The 14,446-nt window shown below is 37.7% G+C and overlaps 1 protein-coding gene across 21 annotated transcripts in view, besides 1 other annotated feature; it reads right to left on the bottom strand.

Annotated features, from left to right (window-relative positions):
* The window catches only part of RALGAPA2 (Ral GTPase activating protein catalytic subunit alpha 2), a 323,115-nt gene that overhangs the window by 149,207 nt on the left and 159,462 nt on the right, over window positions 1-14,446 (bottom strand). For all 21 annotated transcript variants that reach the window (XR_007067471.1, XR_937111.3, XR_007067470.1 and 18 more), the window contains one exon: window positions 7,968-8,096. Coding sequence is in view for 13 of the 21 variants with exons in the window: in XM_011529310.3 (XP_011527612.1) it covers window positions 7,968-8,096 (129 nt within the window). In the remaining 8 variants the exon portion in view is untranslated. The remainder of the gene's footprint in view (window positions 1-7,967; window positions 8,097-14,446) is intronic.
* Window positions 8,884-9,013: an enhancer, noted in NCBI's record as "active region_17612". NCBI's record gives its function as "activates an Ori minimal core promoter by ATAC-STARR-seq in GM12878 lymphoblastoid cells {active_cell/tissue: GM12878}" and the evidence as "EXISTENCE:reporter gene assay evidence [ECO:0000049][PMID:35858748]".

Genomic DNA, 14,446 nt, shown 5'->3' on the forward strand with positions numbered 1-14,446 from the left:
GTTCAGAGGAACTGAATGCATGCGTCTTTGTGGAGTGCAGAGAGAGAGAAGTGATGACAGAGGTAGGAGCCCTGAGGACGAAGAGACAGACAACAGGAAGAATATCATTACCAACCCACAGAAGTCCTCTTTGTGCCCCTCCCATGATAGCCTCCCCTCCTGCAAAGTAACCGTATTCTGCTGTAACACCACAGATTGGTTTTGTCTGGTTTTTCAATTAAATAAATGAAATTAGAGTATATGTTCTTTTGTGTCTGACTTCTTTCACTCATTATGTTATGTAACCGATCCTGTGTTTTCATTGTATATAATAATCCATCTTATGTACACACTATAATTTAACTGTTCTACTGCTGATGGGCATTTGGATTGGCTCTAGGCTTTGGCTGTTACAAATAATGTTGCTGTGCACAAGCTTCTCCTCATCTCTTGGTGACTTGTGCGAGCCATCTGTGCATCTTCCTCCCCCACTGCCTCAGTGGGGCAGTCCTACCTAGCAGGGGTACTTCAAACTGGTAATTACCTTGTGCTAACTGAAAATTCTGACTGAGCAGGTGTGCTCCAGCCCAAACACCTTTCACCAGTTCCTCTACAATTTTAACCTCAAGTTTAAACAAGAAAGTACTATCATTCAGAGTGTGATTCCTTCATGTAACTCTTACACATTCTCATTCATATTCTCTCTCTTTTTAAAAAAACATTTTGGAAGGCTACTTTATTAATTTTGTGTTGATTCTTTTTTCAACTTTACTAAAGCATAATTAATAAAAATTTGTATATTTAAAGTATATACAACATGTTTTGATACACAAATACATTATAAAATGATTACCACAAACAAGTGAATTAATATATCACCTCATATAGTTCCTTTATGCGTGAGTTGTGAACACTTGAGATCTACTCTCTTAGCAAATTTCAAGTTTATAATATAGTATTATTAATTATAGTGACCATGCTGACATCTCCCGAACTCATTCATTCGGCATAACTGAAACTTTTGATCCACTGACAAACATCATCCCATCTCCCCCTACCCCAACCACAGCCCCTGGGAACCACCATTCTACAATCTGCTTCTAGGAGTTGGACTTTTTTAGATTCCACATATAAGTGACACCACACAGTATTTATCTTTCTGAGCTTGGCTTCTTTCATTTGGAAAAATGGTTCATTCATGTTGTTGCAAATGACAGAATTTCCTTCATTTTTTAAAGGCTGAATAACACTCCACTGGAGATATGTACCACATTTCCTTTATCCATTCATCTGTCAATAGACATTTAAGTTGCTTTCATATCCTGGCTATTGTGAATGCTGCTGCACTGAACATGGGAGTGCAGATATTTCTTCAACATACTGATTTCAGTTCCTTTGGATATATACCCAGAAGTGGGATTGCTGGGTCATATGGTAGTTCTATTTTTAACTTTTTGAGAAACCTCCATACTGTTTTCCATAATGGCTGCAGCAATTTACCTTCCCACCAAAAGTGTAGTACACGGGGATGAAGATGTGTAGGAAAAATGGTATGACTAGCACACCCAGTACCCAACCATTCACTAACCCACACACTCATGTGCAATATTTGAAAACAGAATTAAAAATCGATTCATGGCTGTAACATTTATTCCTACTATCATACCTCAGGCAGATAGTTAAATGTATATAACATTACATAACATTGATATATGTGCTAAAGACCAAGCAAATTCGATACCGTCAGAAAGCTTAAAAGATAAGGCACTCATGTCTCTTTTACTGTAGTTTCAAAGAACATAACACTTTTTTCTTTATTGCAAGCTGGTTTTGTATTTCATCCTTTCTGAATTTTTTGAAGTTTATATTTCAATACTTCCTTCCCTCCACATTTTCTAGTTTGTGTTTTTCCAGGTTCTGGTTATGCTTTCATTATTTATTTTCCCATCTTGGCAACACTTCATGTGAATTTGACCTTTACATTTACCTTTATACCATCTTTGATTTGAGTAGTCTCTATTGTGTTGATTCTTTTTTTCCAGCTTTACTAAAGTATAATTAATAAAAATTTATATATTTAAAGTATATACAACATAATGTTTTGATATACATACTGTTTTAATATACATATTGATCCTTATCAATATGTTTTTAACCTATGTCTTTGGGGATGTGTTGGTTGTGATGTCAAATCTCATTCTAGTTTTTTCTGTCAGAGGCCTCAAATAAGGAAGAATCACTATTTTGGTAATTGGTGATCACAGAGGGAATGGAATAATAAATGGGCATTATATATCGCAATCTAGGCAATATATAATGAATTCAAATAAAAGTCAGGAGAATTTTTTTTTTTTTTTTTTACGTATACAAGAGTTCTCTTTCCTCCACATCCTTGCCTACACGTATCTTTTGTCTTTTTGGTGAAAGCCATCCTAACAGGTGTGAGGTAATTATCTCACTGTGATCTTAATTTGCATTTCCCTGGTGATCCTGAGCATTTTTCATACATAGCAGTTCCCTCTTATTTAAAGGGGATACATTCCAAGACCCCCTCAGTGGATGACTGAAACTGTGGATAGTACCAAACCCTATATACACTATGGTTTTTGCAATACATACATACCTATGAAAAAATTTTAATTTATAAATTAGGCAGAGTAAGAGATTAGCAATAACTGCTAATAATGAAATAGAACAATTATAACAATATGACATTCTTGTGCTTTGGGGCTATTATGTAAAATAAAGATTACCTGAACACAAGCACTGTGATATCACAACAGTCCACCTAATAACAGATATGGCCACTAAGTGACTAATGGCTGGGTAGCAGATACCACGTGGATCCACTGGACAAAGCAATGATCCATGTCCCGGGCAGGATGGGCCAGGACAGCTCAAGGTTTCATCATGCTACTCAGAATGGGGTGCAATGTAAAGCTCTGATTTCTAGAATCTTCCATTTAATATTTTTGGACCACCACTGACTGTGGTAACTGATATCAGAAAGTGAAACTGAGGATAAAGTGGGGCTACTGTACTATTAGCCAACTGTATATCTGTAAGGCTACTTTAATAGCCCACCTAGCCACACTGACAGAAAATGACCACCATGTGTGATATTATCTCTAGGAAGGGCTCCAACATTTTTACAGGAAACTCTCTTGGTAAATAATGAACATAGTATTGGAAGTTCTGGCCAGGGCAATCGGGCAAGATAAAGAAATAAAGGGTATTCAAATAGGAAGTCAAATTATCTGTTTGCAGATGACATGATTGTATATTTAGAAAACCTGATCTTATCAGCCCAAAAACTCTTTAAGCTGGTAAGACACTTCAGCAAAGTCTCAGGATACAAAATCAATGTGCAAAAATCACAAGCATTCCTATACACCAATAATAGACAAGCAGGGAGCCAAATCGTGAGTGAACTCCCATTCACAACTGCTACGAAGAGAATAAAATACCTAGGGATACAACTTACAAGGGATGTGAAGGACCTCTTCAAGGGTAACTACAAACCACTGCTCAAGGAAATAAGAGAGGACACAAACAAATGGAAAAACATTCCATGCTCATGGATAGGAAGAATCAATATCATGAAAATGGCCATACTGCCCAAAGTAATTTATAGATTCAATGCTATTCCCGTCAAGCTACCATTGACTTTCCTCACAGAATTAGAAAAGACTACTTTAAATTTCATATGGAACCAAAAAAGAGCCCATATAGCCAAGACAATCCTAAGCAAAAAGAACAAAGCTGGAGGCATCACGATACCTGACTTCAAACTCTACTACAAGGATATAGTAACCAAAACAGCATGGTACTGGTACCAAAACAGACACATAGACCAATGGAACAAAACAGAGGCCTCAGAAATAACATCACACATCAACAACCATCTGATCTTTGACAAATCTGACAAAAACAAGCAATGGGGAAAGGATTCCCTATTTAGTAAATGGTGATGTGAAAACTGGCTAGCCATATGCAGAAAACTGAAACTGGACCCCTTCTTTACACCTTATACAAAAATTAACTCAAGACATATTAAAGATTTAAACATAAGACCTAAAACCATAAAAACCCTAGAAAAAAACCTAGGCAACACCATTCAGGACATAGGCATGGGCAAAAACTTCATGACCTAAACACCAAAAGCAATGGCAACAAAAGCCAAAATTGACAAATGGGATCTAATTAAACTAAAGAGTTTCTGCACACCAAAAGAAACTATCATTGGAGTGAACAGGCAACCTACAGAAAGGGAGAAAAATTTTGCAATCTAACCATCAAAGGGCTAATATCCAGAATCTACAAGGAACTTAAACCATTTTTTTTTTTTAGACGGAGTCATGCTCTGTCACCCAGGCTAGAGTGCAGTGGTGCGATCTTGACTTGCTGCAATCTCCGCCTCCCAGGTTCAAGCGATTCTCCTGCCTCAGCCTCCTGAGTAGCTGGGACTACAGGCATGTGCCACCACACCCAGCTAGTTTTTTTTTATTTTTATTAGAGGCGGGGTTTCACTGTGCTAACCAGGATGGTCTCGATCTCTTGACCTGATGATCTGTCTGCCCCGGCCTCCTAAAGTGTCGGGATTACAGGCGTGAGCTACCAAGCCCGGCAGGAACTTAAACAAATTTATAAGAAAAAACCACTGGGTATATACCCAAAGGATTATAAATCATGCTGCTATAAAGACACATGCACACGTGTGTTTATAGCGGCACTATTCACAATAGCAAAGACTTGGAACCAACCCAAATGCCTATCAATGACAGACTGGATTAAGAAAATGTGGCACATATACACCATGGAATACTATGCAGCCATAAAAAAGGATGAGTTCATGTCCTTTGTAGGAACATGGATGAAGCTGGAAACCATCATTCTCAGCAAACTATCGCAAGGACAAAAAACCAAACACTGCATGTTCTCACTCATAGGTGAGAACTGAACAATGAGAACACTTGGACACAGGAAGGGGAACATCACACACCACGGCCTGTCGTGGGGCGGGGGGAGCGGGGAGGGATAGCATTAGGAGATATATCTAATGTAAATGACGAGTTAATGGGTGCAGCACACCAACATGACACATGTATACATATGTAACAAACCTGCACATTATGCACATGTACCCTAGAACTTAAAGTATAATAATAAAAATAAAATAAAATTAAAAATAAATTAAAAAATAAAACTGTATATGGTAAAAAAAAGAAAAAACAAACAAACAAACAACCCCATATGAAAGTGGGTGAAGGTTATAAACAGATACTTCTCAAAAGAAGACTTATGTGGCCAACAAACATATGAAAAAAAGCTCATCATCACTGGTCATTAGAGAAATGCAAATCAAAACCACAATGAGATACCACCTCACACCAGTTAGAATCATTAAAAAGTCAGGAAACAATAGGCCGGGCACGGTGGCTCACACCTGTAATCCCAGCACTTTGGGAGGCCCAGGCAAGAGGATCACGAGATCAGGAGATTGAGACCATCCTGGCTAACACGGTGAAACTCCATCTCTACTAAAAACATAAAAAAAATAGCTGGGCATGGTGGCGGGTGCCTGTAGTCCCAGCTACTGGGTGACAGAGCAAGACTCTGTCTCAAAAAAAAAAAAAAAAGTCAGGAAACAACAGATGCTGGAGAGGATGTGGAGAAATAGGAATGCTTTTACACTGTTGGTGGGAGTGTAAATTAGTTCAACCGTTGTGGAAGACAGGGTGGCGATTCCTCAAGGATCTAGAACTAGAAATACCATTTGACCCAGCAATCCCATTCATTACTGGGAATATACCCAAAGGATTATAAATCATGCTGCTATAAAGACACATGCACATGTATGTTTATTGCAGCACTATTTACCATAGCAAAGACTTGGAACCAACCCAAATGCCCATCAATAATAGACTAGATAAAGAAAATGTGGCATATATATACCATGGAATACTGTGCAGCCACAAAAAAGAGTAAGTTCGTGTCCTTTGCAGGGATATGGATGAAGCTGGAAACCATCATTCTCAGCAGACTAACACAGAAACAGAAAACCAAACACTGCATATTCTCACTCATAAGTGGGAGCTGAACAATGAGAACATATGGACACAGCGAGGGGAATATCACATACTGGGGCCTGTCAGGGGGTGGGGGGCAAGGGGAGGGATAGCATTAGGAGAAATACCTAATGTAGGTGACAGGTTGATGGGTGCAGCAAACCACCATGGCACATGTATACCTATGTAACAAACTTGCACGTTCTACACATGTATCCCAGAACTTAAGTATAATTTAAAAAAATGAGTATTTCAATAAAGAAGTATGATTTCCCTTCTTGTATCTTGTAATTTTTTTGAAAGATGATGTGAATGGTTAAAATACATTTGAAAATTCTTTGAGATTATCCTAAATTTTTTCAGAAATAATGAAGTATGAAAAGTTGTCATAATTATTTACGATAAAGCCACAGTTGAACAAATTCAACATTTTTCTTCTTCTACTTTTTTTTTTCTTTTTAAGAGATGGGGTCTTGTTATGCTGCCCAGGCTGAACTCAAACTCCTGATCTCAAGTGATTCTCCCACCTTGGCTTCCTGAGTCTCCTATAGCTGTGACTATACATACGCCACCATGCCTGGCCTCTTCTTCTCTTTTACCTTTCTTCTCTTTTGCTCCTGTCTCTTTTCACTTCTCTTTGTTTTCTAATTTATCTTTATAAGAAAAAGTTAGTGTGTGAAAGCGCCAACATGAAATACCAGCTACAGGAAGTATTTTAAACAATTTAATTTAAAACCAAGGGCTTGAAGTTTGAATTTACCCTGCAAAGAAGAAATAAGTGAAAAAGTAATCTCATATCAAACAAGATTTAGGTTGTTGGATGGCAACACTGATTTCGACACCAATGCTTAGCAAATAGTAAAGCTAATTTTATTTATACCATTTGAAGGGGCAAAGATAACTCTGAATATATAACAGCTTATAGAGCACAAATGGAAAAGGCCCTTTAACTTTAAATGTATAACAGTATTCTCTCAAAAAGGCATTAAGATATTGCTTTGGCCATGTGCAGTGGCTCACACCTGTAATCCTAACATTTTGGAGGCTGAGGCAGGAGGATCATTTAAGGCTAGGAGTTTGAGACCAATCTGGGCAACATGGAGGGACTCCAATCTCTACAAAAAATTTAAAAATCAGCCAGGCATAATGGCGTGTACCTGCAGTCCTAACTACTCAGGAGGCTGAGGTGGGAGGATCACTTGAGCTCAGGAGTTTGAGGTTACAGTGAGCTAGGCATGACAGCACCAGTGCGCTTCAGCCTGGGCAGAGAATGAATGGGACCCTATCTCTTGAAAAACAACAACAAAAAAAGAAAAGAAAAGATACTGCCTTAGTAGTAGAGGTAAATGTAGAGAGTAAAAATAATTTTTTTGTAGCCCTTACTGATCATTTAGTCCACTTCTAATTTTTTATTACAAAAATTCTGCCAAAGTATTCTGGCATGTTATTAAGAGAATACATATTTACTTCTAGTTAAGACTTTACTGTTCTAACATTTTAAGAAAATATTTTCTATGAGACTTATAATAACCAAGACTTAATTTAAAAACAAAAAAAAACTTACTGCTAATGTACATTTTAAAACTCTCTATTTTAGACATTTATGTCTGTGTCACCATTTACTGGAAAATGCTAATAATATTCTAAGAGACAAGTCCTGCTTCTGACTGTGTAAATGTGCTGAAATATTAGTGAGGATATGATTTCTCACACTTTGGCCTTTTGATGAAACGCCTTTCCAAAACCAGTGTGTCATCTTATCCTACAATTTCACACATCAGCTGCCAGGGTATCTACCCTGAGAGCCCAGTTTCACATTGCACTAATGAGTCAACACCTGTTAAGAGTGGAGAAATCTGAACCTTGTTAGCGATTGTGAAGCCTCTTGGGAGCTGGGATGCTGAGCATTGTCATACTCACCGTCAAAATGTCTGTGCTAAGGACCCTGGCAGCGGCCGTGATGAAGTCCCCCACCAGCATTGAGAAGCCAGGAAAACCCAGGGAGAAAAAGCGGGGTGGACAGTGCCTTATGATCGTATTTAAGATATCCTAAAAGGGAAGATAAGAAAAAACACAATCGTAATGTTCAAACACAAAATTCCAAAGTAGTGTTTGTAGTGGTACATATGACCACTGTATAATAATCCAAGAGAGCACAGATTACAGAAAATTTTCAGTGAAAGGGATATTGGAAACAGAGTTACTCCAAGGATTACTGTACCCATTTTAAAGGTAAGATTGGAGACCCCAAGCTGTAAGATGAATTATCCAAAATCTAAATCATGGCTCTGAGACTAGACATTTCATCTGTCTTCCGTGTAAAGGTAGGCTCCTTGGACAAGCTACAGGAGTAATGAGGTAAATATGTAATTAAAACCTTCAAATATCTATCACTAAAACAAATGTCCTGTCTTTAGCTTTCAATTGGCCACAGTTAAAGCACAGTTACATTAAAATATCTTAAAGTAGGCAAAGACATGGAAAATTTCACTCTTCAGATAGTTTTACGTGTTCAGAAATGGGAATATGCAGAGTGCTAAGGTGACGTTGTAATCAGTGAAATGCTAAGGTCAGGGAAACAGCATGGCTCTGAGTATATGTGTGATCTCAGTGCAAGTACAAAGTGCAACAGTAGCCTTTTGCACAGAGTGCAGTGTGAAGAGCATCATCTGCCCCAGACATCTTGTGTTCCTGTGTGTGTAATGGCCTCTCATTGATGGCTGGATGGCCCCTCACCCCCCAGCTCTGGTCTGAAGCAGATATCTAATTCTTGCCTGTGGCAGATCAGGGGTCCACCACTGGACAGCATTCATGCCATCCATGGCCAGGCCACATCTCTGAAGCCATCTGTGCAAGCGTGTTTGTGTGTGTGTGTGTGTAACAGGAATTAGTAAGAAAACCACAAACCACAAACTTATGCAGCTGTTGGCCATGTACATTAATCAAAACACACACTGAAGTACAGTCGTGTCGCTTTATGATGAGGATACATTCTAAGAAATGTGCTGTTAGGCAATCTATGATCATCTTGTGAACATCATAGAGTGACTTACACAAACCTAGATGGTAGATGCCTACTACACATCCAGGATACAAATGTGCACAACATGTTACTATACCGAATAGTGTAGGCAATTGTAACACAATGGAAATTGTCTGCATATCAAACCACATCTAGCACAGAAAAGGTTCAGTAAAAACACAGCACTATAATCTTATAGGACCACCATCATATATGTGGTCTGCCACTGACTGAAATGTTACATGACTATACTATAGTAACGTGACTTATAGTTATACAACCTATTATAGTCTCAATATAAGAGTAAGAAGCAAAATCTCCACACACACACACACACACACACACAAAATCCTAGTTTCTTTTCTTAGATTTCAGTATGGTTATCTAAAAAATCCTTAAAAATAATCCTGATTTAATTCTATCAGTATCACATTAGAGCAAAGCAGTAGTAACATGCTAAATTCTAACATGTTCAGTCTGTCATAATAAAAATTACCTCATTTAACAACTTATCTTCCTAAAAAACTTTGTATGTGTTCACAAACCATTTTTCCTAAGACTTTTTTTTCTTTACATGGGTCTTAGTTTCTACAAATCTTGATATTTACATTCTTAAAATTACTGTATAATGCTTAATTCAGTAGAGTTCACATATGGTAAATAGTTTAGCAAGTACTAATTTAAAGTTTTAGCATTTCAGCAGACTTTTTTCCTACATCAGAAATAAACAGATAAATAGATAAGTGAAAAAGGAAGGAAGGAAGAAAAAAAAACATGAACCATGCTTCTTCCAGGTTAATGTTTAAGCCTGCTTTAATCACGTCCTTTGATACACTTTAAGGTCCATATCAGTCAAGGCAAACATTCTAAGGGACCGAGCAGATGGATGCTGCAGTTTAGAAAGTGTGTGGTAAACTCAGGATCCAAGAGTGGAACAAAAGATCCACCTTTTTCATAATTAAGCCTCTGATTAATGCCCTAGGCTCCTCAGCACACACCTGTAATTACTCACAGAGGTACTCATTGTGCTGGGACTTGTCTCGGAATATCAGGCATCAAGCTATCCGGCAGCAGATGGAAGCACATTTCTGTTGACATATGTTGCAATGAAAGGATTCGTGCAAACCTGGCTAGCAAGGTAGCAGAATGCCATGCATTTGAAGATTAATAATGCAAACAACCATGATGTTAACTTTGTTATGCTTGTGTTAATTCCATCTGTTGAGATGTGGAACTAAACCTTGAAGCTTGTGGGCTTTAAAAATCTTTAGCACATACTTGAATCAAATAAGCCCCTTTTCACCACTGGAATTTAGAGTTTTAATTAAAAAATGCTTTTCTAGGCTAAATTTATGGGAATTATGAACTAAATCCTTTAACAAGCTAATACCACAATTTGTAAATGAATCCATTTTGCATTGTAAGATTTGTATGTGTAAAGGCAACAATCTGTAAAATGGGGCATTCAAAAAATATGACTAAGTTGCTATACTGATGCTAAAGACAGCAGATAGGCATGTAGCTGAGATAAAGTCACATGGCTCCCTCACCCCCTGGACCTCAGCCAATCACTTCAACGGAACCTGCTACTATGAGCAAGAAGGTTGGAAAGAGAGGGCAAAATAACAGATGGCTAGCCTACCCTACCCTGCCACCCACGTAAGACAGCGCCCTGAGGAGACACAGCGCCTGTGTGAAGTCGCCAAAGACAGCACTGGGGGAGGGTAAATGGGGGGGTTAAAGAGGGAACTATATGACCAGTCAGCCAAATTATGGCCATATGCCTGCTTCCGTTGCTTCTCCACACTGAAGTGGAACAACTCGAAGACTGTATCTTTGTGATAACATTTTAAAATTAGGAATAACCACGTGGTACTCAAAGAAGAGCCGCTGCATATTCTCAATAGTGGGACATCCACAAAATGCCCCACTCATTTCTAACTCAGTAGAATCCTTCTTTCACCATCCCCACCATACATTAAGACACAGCTATAACAGAAGTCTTTGAAAAATATAATAAAAATCTGAAACCTTCCTCACAGCCTCCAGGGCTTTATATATACATGGGAAAGAATGATGCTCTCAGACATGAGTCATTCATGTGCAATCCTCATGCCTTTTGCCATCTCCCTGTCCAAAGTGAACATTACTTGCCTAACAGGTTTTTCAAAGTGACTCATGTTTTAATTTTTTTATTTCCATAGGTTTTTGGGGAACAGGCGCTATTTGGTCAGATGAGTAAGTTCTTTAGTGGTGATTTGTGAGATTTTGATGCACCCATCACCCAAGCAGTAAGCACTATACCCAATTTGTAGTCTTTTATCCCTCATCCCCTTCCACCCTTTCCCCCAAGTCCCCAAAGTCCACTGTATTATTCTTATGCCTCTGCGTACTCAGAACTTAGCTCCCACTTATGAGTGAGAACATACAATGTTTGGTTTTCCATTCCCGAGTTACTTCGCTTAGAATAATGGCCCAATTATTCTGAAAAATTTATGTGTATCCTTTCTCATAAGTAAAAAGTAACTCAAGTAATACAATGACAGTAATCAATGCTGCTAAATTTTTGCTAAAAATACCATCCTCTGATGAAGACTCTGGGTCTGAGAGCAGCTCTCCTTGTTGAATATAAGCACAGAATGCAATGTCAGGGTGGTGTGAAAGAATAACTTCTCTCAACTCCAGCTGGCCTACCTAACAGTATCACAAGGACCTGCAGAGAGGAGGAAAGGGGCCATCCTTTCTACTGTGTGATTCAATGCTATTCAGCGCTGCCTCCACTGAGATGGCTAGTGAGAAACGGCCCTGCACTCTGACGTGGTGAAAAGAACTCTAGAACTTGAGCCATGAGGCCTAGGTCCAAAGCCTTGTGTGACTGTGGGCAGATCATGTCATACCCAGAGCTTCATGCTTCTCTTCCGTAAAATGAAATGATACTCCCTTACGGAGCTGTATGTAATGGGATAGGAGATAAGAACATATGCCTTTGTAAAATGAAAAGAGCCATAAAGAAGTAAGTAGAATAGCAAGTAAATAATTATTTTTCAAAAAGAGAAGGACTCTGAAGAGTTTTACTTTGTAAAATTTACTTTATAGGTGTAGTTTGTATAATTCAGTGAACTATTATTTTGCTGATCTACAGAAAGAATAGTTTAAGACATTTCAAAGGTGGCACACAAACAAGCCTCTTAGATCGCACATTACCCCAGAAATTCAAAAGCTCTAGAAATTAGTGCTTTCAAGCAACACCCTTAACAAAGCTTTACGGCAATTAGCCATAGTGTTTTACAAGGCAAATACTGAAAGAAAAACAGGAAAATTATCATTTTAGATTTTCTAGGATTCATTTTTCTAAGGAGTTCTAGAACTTAATACAAAGAAGTTCAAGTTAGTTTTATAGCAAGAATTAGTTTCTTTTTCACACGTTAAATAGACTAAACCACAAACTAAACAATAGGCTCAATGATATATGGAATCTAAAATAAAATGAGGTTTATTCTTGAGAGTTGAACATATGACACGTAGACAAAGATCTTTCACAAGCTTTTGTTCAAAGAAATTAAAATTCATCCTGCAAAATGTTGCAATATAGTGAACAGATCACCAAACTAGTATTTTTCTCTTGCTCTGGTTAAAAGTCCAAGTGAATACTATACACTGAGTGTGAAAAGATCACTAAGATGATAATTGTGAATCTGTAGCTTATCAAAAGATTCTGGTTATGAGAAAGTAACTGGTGAGAACATCTGTCTCTTATCACTGATCTTGCAAAAAATCAGGTAATTCAAATAGAGGCGTGTTGTTTCCTCTCCTCCAAAGCACAGTTCTATAAACACAAACCATATTCAGCCTGGTAAATGAATCGCTTTAATTGAATGCTATGTACACAGTAACTGGAAAAACCATAAGTGATAAGAAAAACATATGGTGATGGCAACAGAAATTGGTTTATTCATTTTGCATAGTGTTGTTTCTTTCGTTCCCTTATAATTGACCTTTAGAGCGATAAATGTGTAAAATAATTTTGTTTATTATGGCTCCAAACCTTCCAACAATTACACAAAATGAAAATTTAAAAGGAAGGATTCGTTCTGGAAGCATTTCCATTGTTTACATAATTGCACAGCTATAATTTAGTGCTCATGTTGTTATGGAAAATAAAAAAGGGCGATTACAGGCCATTTCAATTCAAAATATTGCACAGTGGTGTCAAAATGGGGGAAAATGTTCACTTTAAAGCAGTTTAAAATGGTTTAACCCTAAAAACAAAAACATTTCAACATAGCATTCTATAAAACACAAATGTTCAAGAAGTAGCCATCCTCCAAACCATATTAGAAATGTTGCAACTGTACTTTCACACCAATTACATATATATTATTCACTTAATATTTGCTCAGGGCCCAGCAGATGATGGTTGTAACACAATAGCCAGCCATCTGTCTCCCTGCCTTTCCTTCGTGGACTTGCGCCTGCTTCTCAAGAGCAAACAGATCCAGTTATTCCACCTAAAGTCACTCCGTCCCTCCACGAGGCCAGACACAATCATCAAGAAATAAAATCTGCATATGAAAAATCACTCAATTCCTCATTTAACTTTTTACTTAAAGAAAACTAAACACTACACAGTTAGATGAATTCATCACTGTTTTTTAGAGAAGATGCCTGTCTTTTACCTAGGAAATTCTATAGGAAGCTCTTTTATTTGGTAAAGAGGGGAAGGTTGGGATCTGTTTATCCCAGTAATCTGGCTAACAAAAAGATATGATTCATTCTATACTTGGATAATTAATTATAAAAAATGTGAATGCAGAGGAATACATTCATACTATATATGAATATAATTTAAACTTTAACAATGGAGAAGACAGCCACGATCCTGCAGTACTTGTGGACATATTTTTAAGTATTAGTTATTGCCCACCTGCTGAAGTTCAGAAATGCTGAGTGACGAGAAATTTTTAGTTACCAGAAGACCAGATTTGAAGAGACCTCAAAGCTCCAAGGCCTGATTCTCTCATTTCTGCTAGTGGGTCTCTGCTCCTTCAGCTTAGGGCACAAGGACATACTTTACATACTACAAGCTGCTACCTGGCTTCTGATGATTAAAAAATAAATCAAATCAACACGGCCCTTTAAAAACAAAACAAAACAAAACAAAACAAAACAAAAAACACAGCAGAGCACGGCGCCAATACTTCATTTCCAGAAAAGTCACTGAGAATAAGACAGCAGGACAAAGCTGAAAATTACTTTCATGACTGGGGCCAAATATGTGGTATGTGCTTTACATTATGTGTTAAAATGGTTAACTTGGTACATCTGTCTGGGAAAAAAGCAGAGATTTTAACAAGTGTTGTACACAATGTGACTTCTT

Source organism: Homo sapiens, chromosome 20, assembly GCF_000001405.40.
Source record: "Homo sapiens chromosome 20, GRCh38.p14 Primary Assembly".
Taxonomy (NCBI): domain Eukaryota; kingdom Metazoa; phylum Chordata; class Mammalia; order Primates; family Hominidae; genus Homo; species Homo sapiens.